General features: G+C 38.6%; 1 protein-coding gene across 4 annotated transcripts in view; it reads right to left on the bottom strand.

Annotated features, from left to right (window-relative positions):
• MUC7 (mucin 7, secreted) overlaps positions 1 to 16,650 on the bottom strand; it is a 52,506-nt gene that overhangs the window by 4,033 nt on the left and 31,823 nt on the right. The window contains exons 1-3 of one of the 4 annotated variants that reach the window (XM_047415723.1): positions 7,024 to 7,041; positions 6,674 to 6,750; positions 4,890 to 4,958 (exon numbers count right to left, since the gene is read on the bottom strand). In XM_047415723.1, the coding sequence (XP_047271679.1) occupies positions 4,890 to 4,943 (54 nt within the window). In that variant the 5' untranslated portion in view covers positions 4,944 to 4,958; positions 6,674 to 6,750; positions 7,024 to 7,041. The other 3 variants (NM_001145007.2, NM_001145006.2, NM_152291.3) reach the window with 3 other exon arrangements.

Genomic DNA, 16,650 nt, shown 5'->3' with positions numbered 1-16,650 from the left:
CTGAGAACAACCAATAGCTAACATAATGGCTTCTGATACTCACATGACTTTGGTATTTTTCCATAAATCTCTCTTAAAAGGGCATAGGTTTTCAGAATCGGTAACACTGACTCCAGGAATCTCTGAGGAGATCCTTTCCATTACAGGGGTAGTTGTTTTCTCATATAAAATAGAACAGGTCATATTGTTCAAACAGATCTTTCCCTGGAGATTGAATATGCAATCCACATAATTAAGGACCTGCTCTGACTGAAGCAGGATTGAGGGCCTCACATTCCATGATCTCGGTCTTTCCCTTTCCAGATGGTCTCTGAGGATGTTGCAAAGAATGTCCAGATCTTATAGGAACATGTATGAAACATGCTGCAACAGACCAGCAGTGGAGGTTTGGCTCTGTCCTGTGTCTGCCACTGAATAGCTGAGTGACTTTGGTCAAGTCACTTAATGTGCCTGGATGTCGGCTTATTCATTTATAAAATGATTTGGATTAAATTAAATTCCAGATCCAAAGTCTAATTTTATTTGCTTTGAAATAGTTATGTGGTTCATTCCCTTAATCACATGAGCCTCACGAAGGCCCCTCTTTGATTCACCTCTGTAAGTCCAATACCTAAAACTATGCCTGGCATATGGCAGGTACTCATTAGCTATTAATTGAATGAGTAAATGCATGGAAATGATAACAATAACTAATTTGTTATTGAATAAAGTATTAACATTTAAAAGTGTTTATTCATATGTAAAATAGTTTCAGCTATTTTACTTTAGGTGACCAAAATAATACCTACCACATTTTTATATGAAGGCAAATTGATTAAAATCCTATTAATTTTAATGTTAGCTTGGCCTGGAACATGTATCAAATGACCAGTTTGTTTGATTTACTTAATATATTGATTAGTTATTATGATTGGCAGTTACAGGTGGTTATAACAGAAATTGTAGACTAGAGTTGGATTTAGAGAAGTCTGAGAGAGGAAGGAGTTGAAAATGCATGCCTCTAAAGTTTGAGTTTAGGTGACTGAAGTATGGAGGTCCTTATAATAAATATAGATATGCCAGGGAGGGTGTATTAAAGATAGCAACCCTGCCTGCCTGTTCACATTCATTATTTATTTTTATTAAAAAAGTCTTCATGTAACACTTTATGTTAGGCCCTATTCTGAGTGGTTTACAAATACAAATTTATTTAATTTCTTAGTAATATCATAAGGTGGGTACGGTTATTATCTTCATTATATGGATGGGAAAACTGAGTCTCAGACTAAGTAACTTTTAGGAGAATGTTTCTCCATTTGCAAACTGTACTTTTGAGAGCAGAGAAGAGGGAGAAGACATGAGGAACAAGGATAGAGTAGGCTGGAGTCAAGGGAAGGAGAAGGAGAGACACATGGCACTTGCAGCAAGAAAGGAGGGTATGAGAAAGCAGAAGACTCCTAAAATAACTAGAGGAATGCCAAATTCTCTGAGGAAGGAAGAGGAGGAGAAAATTAGTCAGAAAGGGAGAGAATTAGAAGACAGAAAGGCCAAGATTACATTTTTTACTTTTGTATTTTGAGACAGAGTCTCACTCTGTCACCCAGTTGGAGTGCAGTGGCATGATCTCAGCTCACTGCAACCTACGTCTCCTGGGTTCAAGGGATTCTCCTGCCTCAGCCTCCCTAGAAGCTGGAATTACAGGTGTGTACTGCATGCCTGGCTAATTTTTGTATTCTTAGTAGAGATGGGGGTTTCACCATGTTGGCCAGGCTGGTCTTGAACTCCTGACCTCAGGTGATCTTCCCGCCGCGGCCTCTGAAAGTGCTGGAATTACAGGTGTGAGCCACGGCACCCGGCCCAAGATTACATTTAATTGAAATTAGAAAGCACAATTCATTTCTTCATTTGCTACCAGCTTATTTTTATGACCATTTGAAAATCTGTGATCCTTTTTTAAAGAGAATGAAAGCATTATGCTAAATAATGCTATAGTTGACAGAGCTCTTCATCTGACTCCAGAATACATCCCTTCAAGTCTTTCTTTGGGACATCTGGAAGAGAGAAGCCAGACTATCTGCTCCCTGAAATCACTCCACAAAAGCAGGTTGTTGCTAGAGCTCCAGGACTGACCTTTTCTGGCTGTGGGTTAATGCTAATCTCCGGTACATTCCTGTATTTTCTTTTCTTTTTATTTTTTTTGAGACGGAGTCTCGCTCTGTCACCCAGGCTGAAGTGCAGTGGCACGATCTTGGCTCACTGCAACCTCTGCCTCCCAAGTTCAAGTGATTCTCCTCCATCAGCCTCCCAAGTAGCTGCAATTACAGGTGTGGGCCACCACGCCCAGCTAATTTTTGTATTTTTAGTAGAGACGATGTTTCACCATGTTGGCCAGGCTGGTCTCGAACTCCTGACCTCACATTCCTGTATTTTCTAAGGATCAGGTCAAGGTATTTCTGTGCTACCTTCTCATATTCAAGTTCTTTGGAAACTCTTTCTCTCACCAGGCACTTTTTTGAGATTTGGGCAGCTTGAAGAGTTTTATTTATTCTAAGCACTTGGAAGAAAGGATTCTTTAGGTGTCTGGATTTGAGGGAGTTATGATGAAAGGCCACTTCAAAAGAACAACCCAGATTCATCATTTCACAATAACATGACTTGTGTTGATTGGAAAATTATTTCTTTCAATATAGAGGTGTTGGTAGCCAGGGATTCCTTATTAAAACTTTACTTATTAAAAAGTTAACATCACTGTGCATATTCAGAACTTAAAGCCTTATCAACTAGTATGTAAATTGAGATTACAATAATCTTGTCATAATTTTTATATCTACACTATAGTTTATAATTTATAAATTCTCATTTACCCTTCAGCAGCCCTGTGAAGCATATAGTGTTGTTATTATTTTACACATAGGGAAATTGGGGCCCTATAAATAGATTCTAAATTGCTCAAGATTCATCTGGATGGTAAACATTAGAGATGAGTTTAAGCCCACATCTTCTGAGCCCAGCTTGAACACTCTTCTAGTCACAGAAATCAGCATTAGGGTCCGGGAAAAAGCCTGATTGTTTTCTGGGGGATATTATAAGGTAAGTGAGAAATATGAGAATATCCAAGAGTAAATTCCGTCCACTTCATCAGTTCTTCTGCCCTCTCTCTCTCTACTCTACTGGCGTAATATTCTGAGGCTATCCATCCTCATTCAATAAAAAAGTACATTCCACTTCTTGATTCTTATTTGAAATTTTGTCAAAATAAAATTTAATAAATACTTGCAGGTACATAGCATGAGAGAAAAATATGGTTATTATTACAGCATGTATCACCTTGTAATCACATTATATCATTATTAATTTTAATCTTCCTTTGCCAGTACACCCTAAATTTCTTAAAGATAGAAGGTCCACTTTGTAGTCTTCTCTTGGTTTTGGAAGCCATCCTTTCCTGTCCCCTCTTGTGGGTCCTCCATTTTCTCTATCCATATCTAAACTTCCTACATTTTCTCCCTAGGTGAAAATGTTGTAAGGTTTCATGGCTTCAAGTATGTTTTAAATATAGACTTTACCCCTAGATTTCTTTCTGAACTCCAGACAACATATATCCACTGTTTTCTTGATATCTTGATGTGGAAGTCTAATAGCCATTTCAAATGTAACATGCCCCAAACTAGAACGTTTTTGTTCATTTCTTTCTTTTTTTTTCTTTTGAGACAAAATCTTGCTCTGTCACCCAGGCTGTAGTGCAGTGATGCAATCTCGGCTCACTGCAAACTCTGCCTCCCAGGTTCGAGCAATTCTCCTGTCTCAGCCTCCTGAGTAGCTGGGATTACAGGTGCCCACCACCACACCCAGCTAATTTTTGTATTTTTAATAGAGACGGGGTTTCACCATGTTGGCCAGGCTGGTCTTGAACTCCTGACCTCGGGTGATCCACCTGCCTTGGCCTCCGAAAGTGCTGGGACTACAGGCATGAGCCACCGCGCCCGGCCTGTTCATTTCTTTCTTTTACCACATATACAATCCAGCAGAAGATATAGTAGACTCAATCACTAAAATATATCCTAAACCCACTCTTATCTTTTAATTGCTGAAATTTAGTGCAAGTCACCATCATCTTTTATCTGGACCACTGCCATAGCTTCCTGACTAGTCTCCTTATCTCAGCTTTTGTTACCTGCTACCTATCTTCTCCTGAGAATCCTGTCATGTAAATCCCCTGGGAGTGCTTTGATCATGCTGAGACTTCCTGACAGATTTGAAACCATATTCCACACCAAGACCTAAAGGCCTTACAAACCTGGGTTTTCATCTGTGTCAGTTCTCATCACACTCACTATAAAGTTTGTGCTCTATAGATATTGGATAAATGAAACAAATTATTTCCTTATGCTCTATCTACCTACCTACCTACCTACCTACCTAGTCTATCTACCTATCTATCTAGTCTATCTACCTATCTGTATATATTTTTAAGACAGGGTCTCATTTTGTCACCCAGGCTGTGGCATAGTGGTATGATTACGGCTTGCTGCAGCCTTGACCTCCCAGGCTTAAGATCCCAACCTCAGCCTCCGAGTAGTTGGGATTACAGGCACGCACCACCACACCTGGCTAATTAAATTTTGTTGTTGTTGTTGTTGTGGAGATACTGTCTCATTATGTTACTCAGGCTAGTCTTGAACTTCTCTGAGCTCAAGTGATCCTCCCTCCTAGGCTTCCCATAGTGCTGGGATTAGAGGTGTGAGCCAGTGCACCGGCCAATTGTCCATATTTATAGGTTTCCTGGAAATAAAAGATGTCAAGCTTCTTGGAAATAGGGGTTGCCTATTATGCTTTAAAAGTCTCAGGTAGGTACACTAAATGTTTGTTATTGATAGTTAAGGAAAAAACTTATTTGGGTGAATACTTACCGAGAAGCAAGCACTCAGTGCACAGATGCACACAAACAGCGGCAGAGTTTTCATTCTTTCTGATGTCTCCTGGGAAAAGCAGAAATGTGGCGTACTATTAGTTATGATATTATGGGAGAGGAATGCGTTTTGGTAAATAACTTATTTTTATTAGAAAGTACAGGCAAAAAGAGACCAATGGTTTCTGAAAATTATGTATACATTTTCATTCCATAGGGGTGATGCAAAATTGCTTCAGGCCTAAAATGCATTCTTTTAGAGAGGAAGCAATGGAGGAGGCTCAAGAATTATTCTAACTAGTTTGCAAAATGAGCATTTTCTATTGATATTAAAGATTGGCTAGGAAAGGCAGGATCTTAGGAAGTTTAGCAATAAGAAAAGGAAATAATTTTCTTCTTATTTCTTTTCTAATTCAGGAAGCTCCCCTCTGTGGGGAACCATCATATAAATGACCTGATACTACACAGTTTTGCAAAGACTCCTGATGTTAGAGGAAAATGCTCTTTGTCGCTGTGCTATAAGGCTGTCACTTGGAACAAAGAACCAGGTCAAATGGACTCTTCCTCCAATTTCATTCTACTGAAGATTTTGCCATTTGATAATCCTTTTTCTTGTACCTTTTTTTTTTTTTTGAGACAGAGTCTCGCTCTGTTGTCCAGGCTGGAGTGAAGTGGCACACGCATGGCTCACTGCAGCCTGCACCCCCCAGACTCAAGCGATCCTCTCACTTTGGCCACCCTAGTAGCTTGGACTACAGTCATGCACCACCGCTCCTGGCTATTGCTATTATTATTTTTATTTTTTGTAGAGACACGGTTTCACTGTGTTGCCCAGGCTGGTCCTGAACTCCTGGGCTCAAGCAATCCACCCTCATCGGCCTCCCAAAATTCTGGGATTACGGGTGTGAGCCACCGTGTCTGGCCGATACCCTTTTTCTAAGTCCCAAAATGACAGGAATTATTCTTTATTCATTGTTATGTCATCATGCCTAGTACATAGTGCAGACTTAATACATATTTTTTTTGAATAACTACTTGCAAAAGAGAATTGTATTTTGGCTATAGGTTGTAGAAGGGAAGAGTGAGAGAAGAATGTGGTCTTTTGTTTTTCTCATTTTGGTTATATATGTAATGTGTACATGTCAGCTTATCAGCTTTAGAAAACAAAATAAAGGTTAAATCATATAGACAGATTACATATTAGGGCAGGTAATTAGTGTGCATGTCAATGTGGTGGGCTGTGAGATTAGACACACTTTACAATACAATCCCATGGTTTATAAAATGGGTGTTAGAGTCAGTCAGAGACTTGATTTAAGCTCTGCCCACTTACTGTGTGACTCTGCCACTCACTGCATGACTTTGAGTGAGTTGCAATCTTACATCATAAGAATGTCCTGAGGATTGACTGGAATAATATATATATTACAAATCGTACTGAGAATAATGTCTTATCCATAATAAAGTCTCAGTGGTATTATTATAGTACTAGCACACTAAGAAGAAAACAATCTGACCCAATTGAAAAACGAAATGGTTACTTATTATTCTTCAGGTTCCTAATATATTGTCAGATTTGTTTTTAAATTTCAAGACCAAAAAACATTCCTACCAATCATATTGTGTTCTAATAACATATGAATTGAGTGTTACCACACTGTTTGGCAGTTCATAAGAAGAGAGGAGAATAACTGTATTAGAACAACTATTGCTATTACTTAATATATGTATATTACTTGAAAGCTGTTTAGTTTATATTAGAACCTATCTAAAGTATCCACATACCTGGTGCAGTGTGAATCTTTCTTCTTAGGGTGTTCAATCCAGTTGCTTGCTTTTAGCCAATCCTTTGAGGATGGTAACTAGAAGCAAAAGAAGAGAAAGCACAAGAGAATTTTCAGGTTTTATAACACTCCAGTCGAGCTTTTTGGAAATAGGAAATCTATTAGATTTAAGATAAGGTCATTTGTGTCAAGGAATTTACTTTTAAAGAAAAGAATAGTTGTGGTTTGCTGAGATTGACAGTAGTTCTTTGTGCATCAATTTCTTCCTGATGAGCACAGTGACGATCAGAGGTTCTCAATGAGTAACTTATGTGCTTGATGAGTAGTGGAACAGTAATTGAAGGCGCTTACGGAGAAACAAACAACCATGGCCCAGGTCCTCCCAACAGGAACAGATCATCCACTCTTTCCTGTTGGGCTCTCAAAGTAAGCAGAGTGATTGCCTTCTGACAGTTAATGTGATGGAACACCATATTTCCTTGTCAATAAGACAAGTTAATAAAGGACAGAGGATTTAAAAAAAATACTGTGGTGCCAAGTACTGGTGCAGGGCAGTATTTAAAGCCAAAAAATCAACACTGAATTTTTAAATACAAGTAATTAAAAACAATTTTTGACTTTTTGTCTTGAAAAATATTCAAACATATAGAAAAGTGAGGAGGGTAGTAGAACTATATACTCATTCCCTGGTTTTCATAATTCTTAACATTTTGCTATATATCTTAGTTGTTTTGCTGAAGTATCTTAAGGTAAACTACAGAAATTGTAACAGCTACTCTCTATTTCAGCATTTCTCTCTAAAAAGCCTTTCTTTTATAACACAACACCATCAACCTATAACAATATTAATAATTCAAACATATAATCTAAAATTGAGTTTATACTCAAATTTTGGCAAAAATATTTTTAGTCATTTTGTTCCTACCAGGACTCAACTAAGGGCCGTGTGTTGCAGTGACTTGTTATGTCTCTAGTTTCTTTTATCCCAGAAAATTTTCTCCCATTTCCCCCATGGTAGTGATATTTTGATAGCTAGACTAGTCATTTTATAAATATTTATTTTTAAAAAGAAACTTAATAACTTAAAAAAGAACTTAAGAATCATTTTAATAGAGATCTTCAAAATTAGATATTTCTACTATGTAAAATCGTTAATCTGGAATACAGTTTTGAAGGTGTGATTCCACTTCTAGCTAGTCAGTTTGTTCTTTTGCACATACAGTCTCTGAGGGCTTACATTCTTTGGGTTTGATTCCTTGCTTCTCCACTTAGTAGCCATGTAATTTTTGACAGGTTAGCTAACTTCTTTGAGCCTCAGTTTTTCTATCTGCTAATTAGGTGTGACATCTACTTTACAAAGTTGTCAGACTGAAAGTAGATAAGTTAAAAGTTCTGACATGGTTCTTTTGAATGGAACACCCTCAGCTATTATGCTGCCATTAGTGGAAAGTTAGGGACAGTTTTTGAGATAGCAATGAGTTAGTAAATATGGGCTATAATATTAATTTCTTTTCATCTTTTTTTGCTAGCAACTAGTGATATGCATTTACAATATACTTGTTATAGTTAAAATTGACTGTAGAATATAATTTTTATTGATCTGAACAAGCTTTTCTAAGTACATGACTTCAATAGAAAAATTTTCATATCACCTTGCTATTACCCAATTAGTGATAAGTTGTAATGACCTCAAAAATTGATAGAATTTCAAAAATTGTCTAATTATCCTCAGTCCTAAATAATGCCTGGAGATAACAAATTTAATTTTCTTTAAATATTGGAAAAATATAAGAATATCTGGACATATTATGACTGAATCCAGTACATTTCAGGTTTTATTTTTCAATAAATGAGTAACACTTATGCATTTATTATTTTAATTTTTTAAAAATTATATTCTCTTGGGATACATGTGCAGAATGTGCAGGTTTGTTACATAGGTATACATGTGCCATGGTGGTTTGCTGCACCCATCAACCTGTCACCTACATTAGGTATTTCTCCTAGTGCTATCCCTCCCCCAGCCCCCCACCTGCCAACAGGCCCTGGTGTGTGATGTTTCCCTCCCTGTGTCCACGTGTTCTCATTGTTTAACTCCCACTTGTGAGTGAGAACATGCAGTGTTTGGTTTTCTGTTCCTGTGTTAGTTTGCTGAGAATGATGGTTTCCAGCTTCATCCATGTCCCTGCAAAGGACATGAACTCATCCTTTTTTATGGCTGCATAGTATTCCATGGTGTATATTGCCACATTTTCTTTATCCAGTCTATCATTGATGGGCATTTGGGTTGGTTCCAAGTCTTTGCTATTGTAAATAGTGCTGCAATAAATATATGTGTGCATATGTCTTTATAGTAGAATGATTTATAATCCTTTGGGTATATACCCGGTAATGGCATTGCTGGGTCAAACGATATTTCTGGTTCTAGATCCTTGCAGAATCGCTACACTGTCTTCCACAATTGTTGAACTAATTTACAGTCCCAGAAACAGCATAAAAGCATTCCTATTTCTCCACATCCTTTCCAGCATCTGTTGTTTCCTGACTTTTTAATGATTGCTATTCTAACTGGCTTGAGATGGTATCTCATTGTAGTTTTGATTTGCATTTCTCTAATGACCAGTGATTATGAGCCTTTTTTCATATATTTGTTGGTTGCATAAATGTCTTCTTTTGAGAAATGTCTGTTCATATCCTTTGTCCACTTTTTGATGGGGTTGTTTGCTTTTTTCTTGTAAATTTGTTTAAGTTCCTTGTAGATTCTGGATATTAGCCTTTTGTCAGATGGATAGATTGCAAAAATTTTGTCCCATTCTCTAGGCTGCCTGTTCACTCTGATGATAGTTTCTTTTGCTGTGCAGAAGCTCTTTAGTTTAATTAGATCCCATTTGTCTATTTTGGCTTTTGTTGCCATTGCCTTTGGTGTTTTAGTCATGAAGCCATTGCCCATGCCTGTGTCCTGAATGTTATTGCCTAGGTTTTCTTCTAGGGTTTTTATGGTTTTAGGTCTTACATTTAAGTCTTTAATCCATCTTGAGTTAATTTTTGTATAAGGTGTTAGGAAGGGGTCCAGTTTCAGTTTTCTGCATGTGGCTAGCCAGTTTTCCCAACACCGTTTATTACATAGGGAATCCTTTTGCCATTTCTTGTTTTTCTCAGGTTTGTCAAAGATCAGATGGTTGTAGATGTGTGGTGTTATTTCTGAGGCCTCTGTTTTGTTCTATTGGTCTATATATCTGTTTTGGTGCCAGTACCATGTTGTTTTGGTTACTGTAGCCTTGTAGTATAGTTTAAAGTCAGGTAGCATGATCCCTCCAGTTTTGTTCTTTTTGCTTATGATTGTCTTGGCTATACGGGTTCTTTTTTGGTTCCATATGACATTTAAGTGGTTTTTTTCTAATTCTGTGAAGAAGGTCAATGGTAGCTTGGTGGGGATAGCATTGAATCTATAAATTACTTTAGGCACTATGGCCATTTTGATGATATTGATTCTTCCTGTCCATGAGCATGGAATGTTTTTCCATTTGTTTGTGTCCTGTCTTATTTCATTGAGCAGTGGTTTGTAGTTATCCTTGAAGAGGTTCTTCACATCCCTCGTAAGTTGTATTCCTAGGTATTTTATTCTCTTTGTAGCAAATGTGAATGGGAGTTCTCTCATGATTTGGCTGTTTGTCTATTATTAGTGTATAGGAATGCTTGTGATTTTTGCCCATTGATTTTGTAGCCTGAGACTTTGCTGAAGTTGCTTATTAGCTTAAGGAGATTTTGGGCTGAGAAGATGGGGTTTTCTAAATATACAATCATGTCATCTGCAAACAGAGACAATTTGACTTCCTCTCTTCCTATTTGAATACCCTTTATTTCTTTCTCTTGCCTGATTCCCCTGGCCAGAACTTCCCATACTATGTTGAACAGGAGTGGTGAGAGAGGGCATCCTTGTCTTGTGCTGGTGGTTTTCAAAGGGAGTGTTTCCAGCTTTTGCCCATTCAGTATGATATTGGCTGTGGGTTTGTCATAAGTAGCTCTTATTATTTTGATGTACGTTCCATCAATACCTAGTTTATTGAGAGTTTTTAGCATGAAGGGGTGTTTAATTTTATCAAAGGCCTTTTCTACATCTGTTGAGATAATCATGTGGTTTTTGTCATTGGTTCTGTTTATGAGATGGATTACATTTATTGATTTGCGTATGTTGAACCAGCCTTGCATCCCGGGGTAAAGCCAGCTTGATCTTGGTAGATAAGCCTTTTGATGTGCTGCTAGATTCAGTTTGCCAGTATTTTATTGAGGATTTTTGCATCGATGTTCATCAGGGATATTGGTCTGAAATTTTCTTTTCTTGTGTCTCTCCCAAGTTTTGGTATTAGGATGATGCTGGCCTCGCAAAATGAGTTAAGGAGGAGTCCCTTTTTTTCTATTGTTTGGAATAGTTTCAGAAGGAATGGTACCATCTTCTCTTTGTACCTCTGGTAGAATTTGGCTGTGAATCTGTCTGGTCCTAAACTTTTTTTGGTTGGTAGACTATTAATTACTGCCTCAGTTTCAGAACTTGTTATTGGTCTATTCAGGGATTCAATTTCTTCCTGGTTTAGTCTTTGGAGGGTGTATATGTCCAGGAATTTATCCATTTCTTCTAGATTTTCTAGTTTATTTGCATAGAGGTGTTTATAGTATTCTCTGATGGTAGTTTGTATTTCTATGGGATCAGTGGTGATATCCCTTTTATCATTTTTTATTGCATCTATTTGATTCTTCTCTCTTTTCTTCTTTATTAGTCTGGCTAGCGGTCTATCTATTTTGTTAATCTTTTCAAAAAACCAACTCCTGGATTTATTGATTTTTGAAGGGTTTTTTTGTGTCTCTATGTCCTTCAGTTCTGCTCTGATCTTAGTTATTTCTTGTCTTCTGCTAGCTTTTGAATTTGTTTGCTCTTGTTTCTCTAGTTCTTTTAATTGTGATGTTAGGGTGTTGATTTTAGTTCTTTTCTACTTTCTCTTGTGGGCATTTAGTGCTATAAATTTCCCTCCAAACACTGCTTTAGCTGTGTCCCAGAGATTCTGGTATGTTGTGTCTTTGTTCTCATGTGTTTCAAATAACTTATTTATTTCTGCCTTAATTTCCTTATTTAACCAGTAGTCATTCAGGAGCAGGTTGTTCAGTTTCCATGTAGTTGTGCAGTTTTGAGTGAGTTTCTTAATCCTGAGTTCTAATTTGATTGCACTGTGGTCTGAGAGACTGTTTGTTATGATTTCCATTCTTTTGCATTTGCTGAGGAGTGTTTTACTTCCAATTATGTGGTCAATTTTAGAATAAGTATGATGTGGTGCTGAGAAGAATGTATATTCTGTTGATTTTGGGTGGAGAGTTCTGCAGATGTCTGTTAGATCCACTTGGTCCAGAGTTGAGTTCAAGTCCTGAATATCCTTGTTAATTTTCTGTCTCTGTTGATCTGTCTAATATTGACAGTGTGGTGTTGAAGTCTCCCAGTATTATTGTGTGGGAGTCTAAGTCTCTTTGTAGGTCTCTAAGAACTTGCTTTATGAATCTGGATGCTCCTGTATTGGGTGCATATATATTTAGGATAGTTAGCTCTTCTTGTTGCATTGATCCCTTTACCATTATGTAATGCTGTTGTCTTTTTTGATCTTTGTTGGTTTAAAGTCTGTTTTATCAGAGACTAGGATTGCAACCTCTGCTTTTTTTTTTGCTTTCCATTCGCTTGGTAAACATTCCTCCATGTCTTTGTTTTGAGCCTATGTGTGTCTTTGCACATAAGATGGGTCTCCTGAATATAGCACACTGATGGGTCTTGAGTCTTTATCCAATTTGCCAGTCTGTGTCTTTTAATTGGAGCATTTAGCCCATTTACATTTAAGGTTAATATTGTTATGCATGAATTTGATCCTGTCGTTATGATGTTAGCTGGTTATTTTGCTGGTTATTTGATGCAGTTTCTTCCTAGCCTCAATGGTCTTTACAATTTGGCATGTTTTTGCAGTGGCTGGTACTGGTTATTCCTTTCCATGTTTAGTGCTTCCTTCAGGAGCTCTTATAGGGCAGGCCTGGTGGTGACAAAATCTCTCAGCATTTGCTTGTCTGTAAAGGATTTTATTTCTCCTTCACTTATGAAGCTTAGTTTGGCTGGATATGAAATTCTGGGTCAAAAATTCTTTTCTTTAAGAATGTTGAATATTGGCCCCCACTATATTCTGGCTTGCAGGGTTTCTGCAGAGAGGTCCTCTGCTAGTCTTATGTTAGTTTGATGGGCTTCCCTTTGTGGGTAACCTGACCTTTCTCTCTGGCTGCCCTTAACACTTTTTCCTTCACTTCAATGTTGGTGAATCTGACGATTATTTGTCTTGGGGTTGTTCTTCTCAATGAGTATCCTTGTGGTGTTCTCTGTATTTCCTGAATTTGAATGTTGGTCTGTTTTGCTGGGTTGGGGAAGTTCTCCTGGATAATATCTTGAAAAGTATTTTTCAACTTGGTTCCATTCTCCCCATCACTTTCATGTACACCAATCAAGCGTAAGTTTGGTCTTTTCACATAGTCCCATATTTCTTGGAGGCTTTGTTTGTTCCTTTTTATTCTTTTTTCTCTAATCTTGTCTTCATGCTTTATTTCATTAAGTTGATCTTCAATCTCTGATATCCTTTCTTTTGCTTGATCGATTTGGCTATTGATACTTGTGTATGCTTCACGAAGTTCTCGTGCTGTGTTTTTCAGCTCCATCAGGTCATTATGGTCTTCTCTAAACTGGTTATTCTAGTTAGCAATTCTGCTAACCTTTTTTCAAGGTTCTTAGCTTCCTTGCATTGGGTTAGAACATGCTCCTTTAGCTCAGAGAAGGTTATTACCCACCTTCTGAAGCCTACTTCTGTCAATTTGTCAAACTCATTCTCTGTCCACTTTTGTTCCCTTGCTGGCAAGGAGTTGTGATCCTTTGCAGGGGAAGAGGCATTCTGGTTTTTGGAATTTTCAGCCTTTTTGTGCTGGTTTTCCTCATCTTCGTGGATTTATCTACCATTGGTCTTTGATGTTGGTGACCTTCAGATGGGGTTTCTGTGTGGATGTCCTTTTTGTTGATGTTGATGCTATTCCTTTCTGTTTATTAGTTTTCCTTCTAACAGTCAGGCCCCTCTGCCCTAGGTCTGCTGGAGTTTGCTGGATGTCCACTCCAGACCCTGTTTGCCTGGGTATCACCAGCGGAGGCTGCAGAACAGCAAGGATTGCTGCCTGTTGCTTCATCTGGAAGCTTCATCCCAGAGGGGCACTTGCCAGATGCCAACCGGAACTCTCCTAAATGAGGTGTCTGCCGAACCCTGCTGGGAGGTGTCTCCCAGTCAGGAGGCACAGGGGTCAGGGACCCACTTGAGGAGGCAGTCTGTCCCTTAGCAGAGCTCGAGCACTGTGCTGGGAGATTCATTGCTCTCTTCAGAGCCGGCAGGCGGGAAGGTTTAAGTCAGCTGAAGCTGCGCCCATTACCTCCCCTTTCCCCAGGTGCTTTGTCCCAGGGAGTGGGGAGTTGTATCTATAAGCCCCTGACTGGGGCTGCTTGCCTTTCTTTCAGAGATGCCGTGCCTAGAGAGGAGGAATCTAGACAGGCAATCTGGCTACAGTGGCTTTGCTGAGCTTTGGTGTGCTCCATGCAGTTCAAACTCTTGGTGGCTTTTTTTACACTGTGAGGGGAAAACCACCTACTCAAGCCTCAGTAATGGCAGATTCCCCTCCCCCGACCACGCTTGAGATTCCCAGATTGACTTCAGACTGTTGTGCTCGCAGCGAGAATTTCAAGCCATTGTATCTTAGCTTGCTGGGCTCTGTAGGGGTGGGAACCACTGAGCTCGACCACTTGGTTCCTTGACTTTAGCCTTCTTTTCAGGGGAGTGAATGATTCTGTCTCACTGGTGTTCCAGGTGCCACTGGGGTATGAAAAAAACTTCTGCAGCTAGCTTGGTGTCTGCCCAAATGACCACCCAATTTTGCGCTTGAAACCCTGGGCCCTGGTGGTATAGGCATCTGAGGGAATCTTCTTGTCTGCTGGTTGTGAAGATGGTGGGAAAAGAATAGTATCTGGGCCAGAATGCGCCATTCCTCATGGCACAGTCCCTCATGGCTTCCCTTGGCTAGGGGAGGGAGTTTCCAATCCCTTGCACTTCCCAGCAAGGTGACGCCCCACCCTGCTTTGGCTCACCCACTGTGGGCTGCACCCACTATCTAACCAGTCCCAATGAGATGAGCCAGGTATCTCAGTTGGAAATGCAGAAATCACCCACCTTCCGTGTTGATCTCACTGGGAGCTGCAGACTGGAGCTGTTCCTATTTGGCTATTTTCGGATGACTATCTCATTCCATTATTTTTAACTTTACGAATGTAAAATGCTGCCATTACTTGCATAGAACAGTCATCTCAGTTATGGAGTTTGAGAAGTCCAAGATCAAGATCTGGCCGACTTGGTGTTTGGCGAGGACACAGTCTAATTCATAGAATGGTACCTTCTTGTTGTGTCCTTGCATAGCGGGAGGGCTATTTTAATGTTCTTACGGTGTTAAAGCCACTTGGGGTTTTAGAAACTGATGATGGTATACGCCAATTACACAAAAATTTAAAATTAACATGTTGAAATGACTGACATGTGGACTACAAATCACCATTATGACATATTTTAAATTAGCACTGAATGTTGTGATATGGGATACAGCATCATAAACTCATAGTGTACTGTCAACTGAGTTCTGCTCTTCTGGAGCTGAAAAGCTACAGCTGTTTTTCTGTTCCTCACTATACTTTCACTTCTACACCAAAATGCATTATAGTTGCAAAAAAAGTGAAAAAATAATAGAAACTTCTCATTTGCTATAGCCACAACTAGAGCATGGTTAATCGATTGAAAAGTAGATTTAAAAAGAATTCATGGTAAAGGCTTTTGCCTAACTGCTTTTTATGTTGACCCCCAGCCCCAATGGATTTTCCAGATTGTCTTATGCTAATTTCTCTGTAAGACATAATTTGAATATGGAAAACATCAGTTATTTTAACCAGTTAATCAAGATAGCTTCTGTTGTGTCAATATTATTTTAGGATTTTTTTTTGTGGTTTGAAGTGTATCTTCTGGTATTACTAAAGTTGTGAGTTGGCTTTCATTAGAGTTTTGAGAAGATCTTTGCAGAGAGAGGGTCTATGGAATCTACTTCCTAATCTGGAGTTAAGAGTAGAAGAATTTGACCATAGGACCAACAGAAGATTGACCTGCAAAAGTGATAGAGAGTAGTGCTTCAGTTTTATTTACTTATTCATTCATTCATTCATTCATTCATTCATTTTTAGAGACAAAGTGTTGCTCTGTTGCCCGGGCTGGAGTGCAGTGGTGTGATCTTAGCTCAGTGCAGTCTCAAACTCTTGGTCTGAAGCCATCCTCCTGCTGCAGTTCCTGCTGGGACTACAGGCATGTATCACCATGCCAAGCTAATTTATTTTTTTTTTTAGAGATAGGGTCTTGCTATGTTACCCAGGCTGGTCTTGAACTACTAGCCTCAAGCAATTCTCTTGCCTCAGCCTCCCAAGTATCTGGGATTACAGGCATGAGCCATTGCACCAGGCAGAGTGCTTCAGCTTTAACTAGTCTTGGCAGGGACTATATAATCTAATTTATGTCTATATATGCAAAAAAGATAATTATATGCATCTTCTTTCCTTCTTTATTTGCTACTATGAACTGTTTTATCTGCATGATCAGTTCTAATATCTTAAATGTATCTAAGTCCTTTTCCTTTTTAAAGTACTTTCATATACTTCATAATTATAAATGATCTGGAACAATTACTAGAAGAAAATATAGTGATTTGTCAATTTGTGGGAGCACTCATTTTGTTTAACATAACAGAATCATTGAACTATAATGGATAAGGTGACATTGAAATTTTCTTAATAACGCTTTTAAAAAGTATGTTAATTAGAGGAAATTAGATAAACAGTTT

The sequence above is a fragment of the Homo sapiens genome, chromosome 4 (assembly GCF_000001405.40).
Source record: "Homo sapiens chromosome 4, GRCh38.p14 Primary Assembly".
NCBI classification, from domain to species: domain Eukaryota; kingdom Metazoa; phylum Chordata; class Mammalia; order Primates; family Hominidae; genus Homo; species Homo sapiens.
This window is presented reverse-complemented; position numbering and strand designations above follow the sequence as displayed.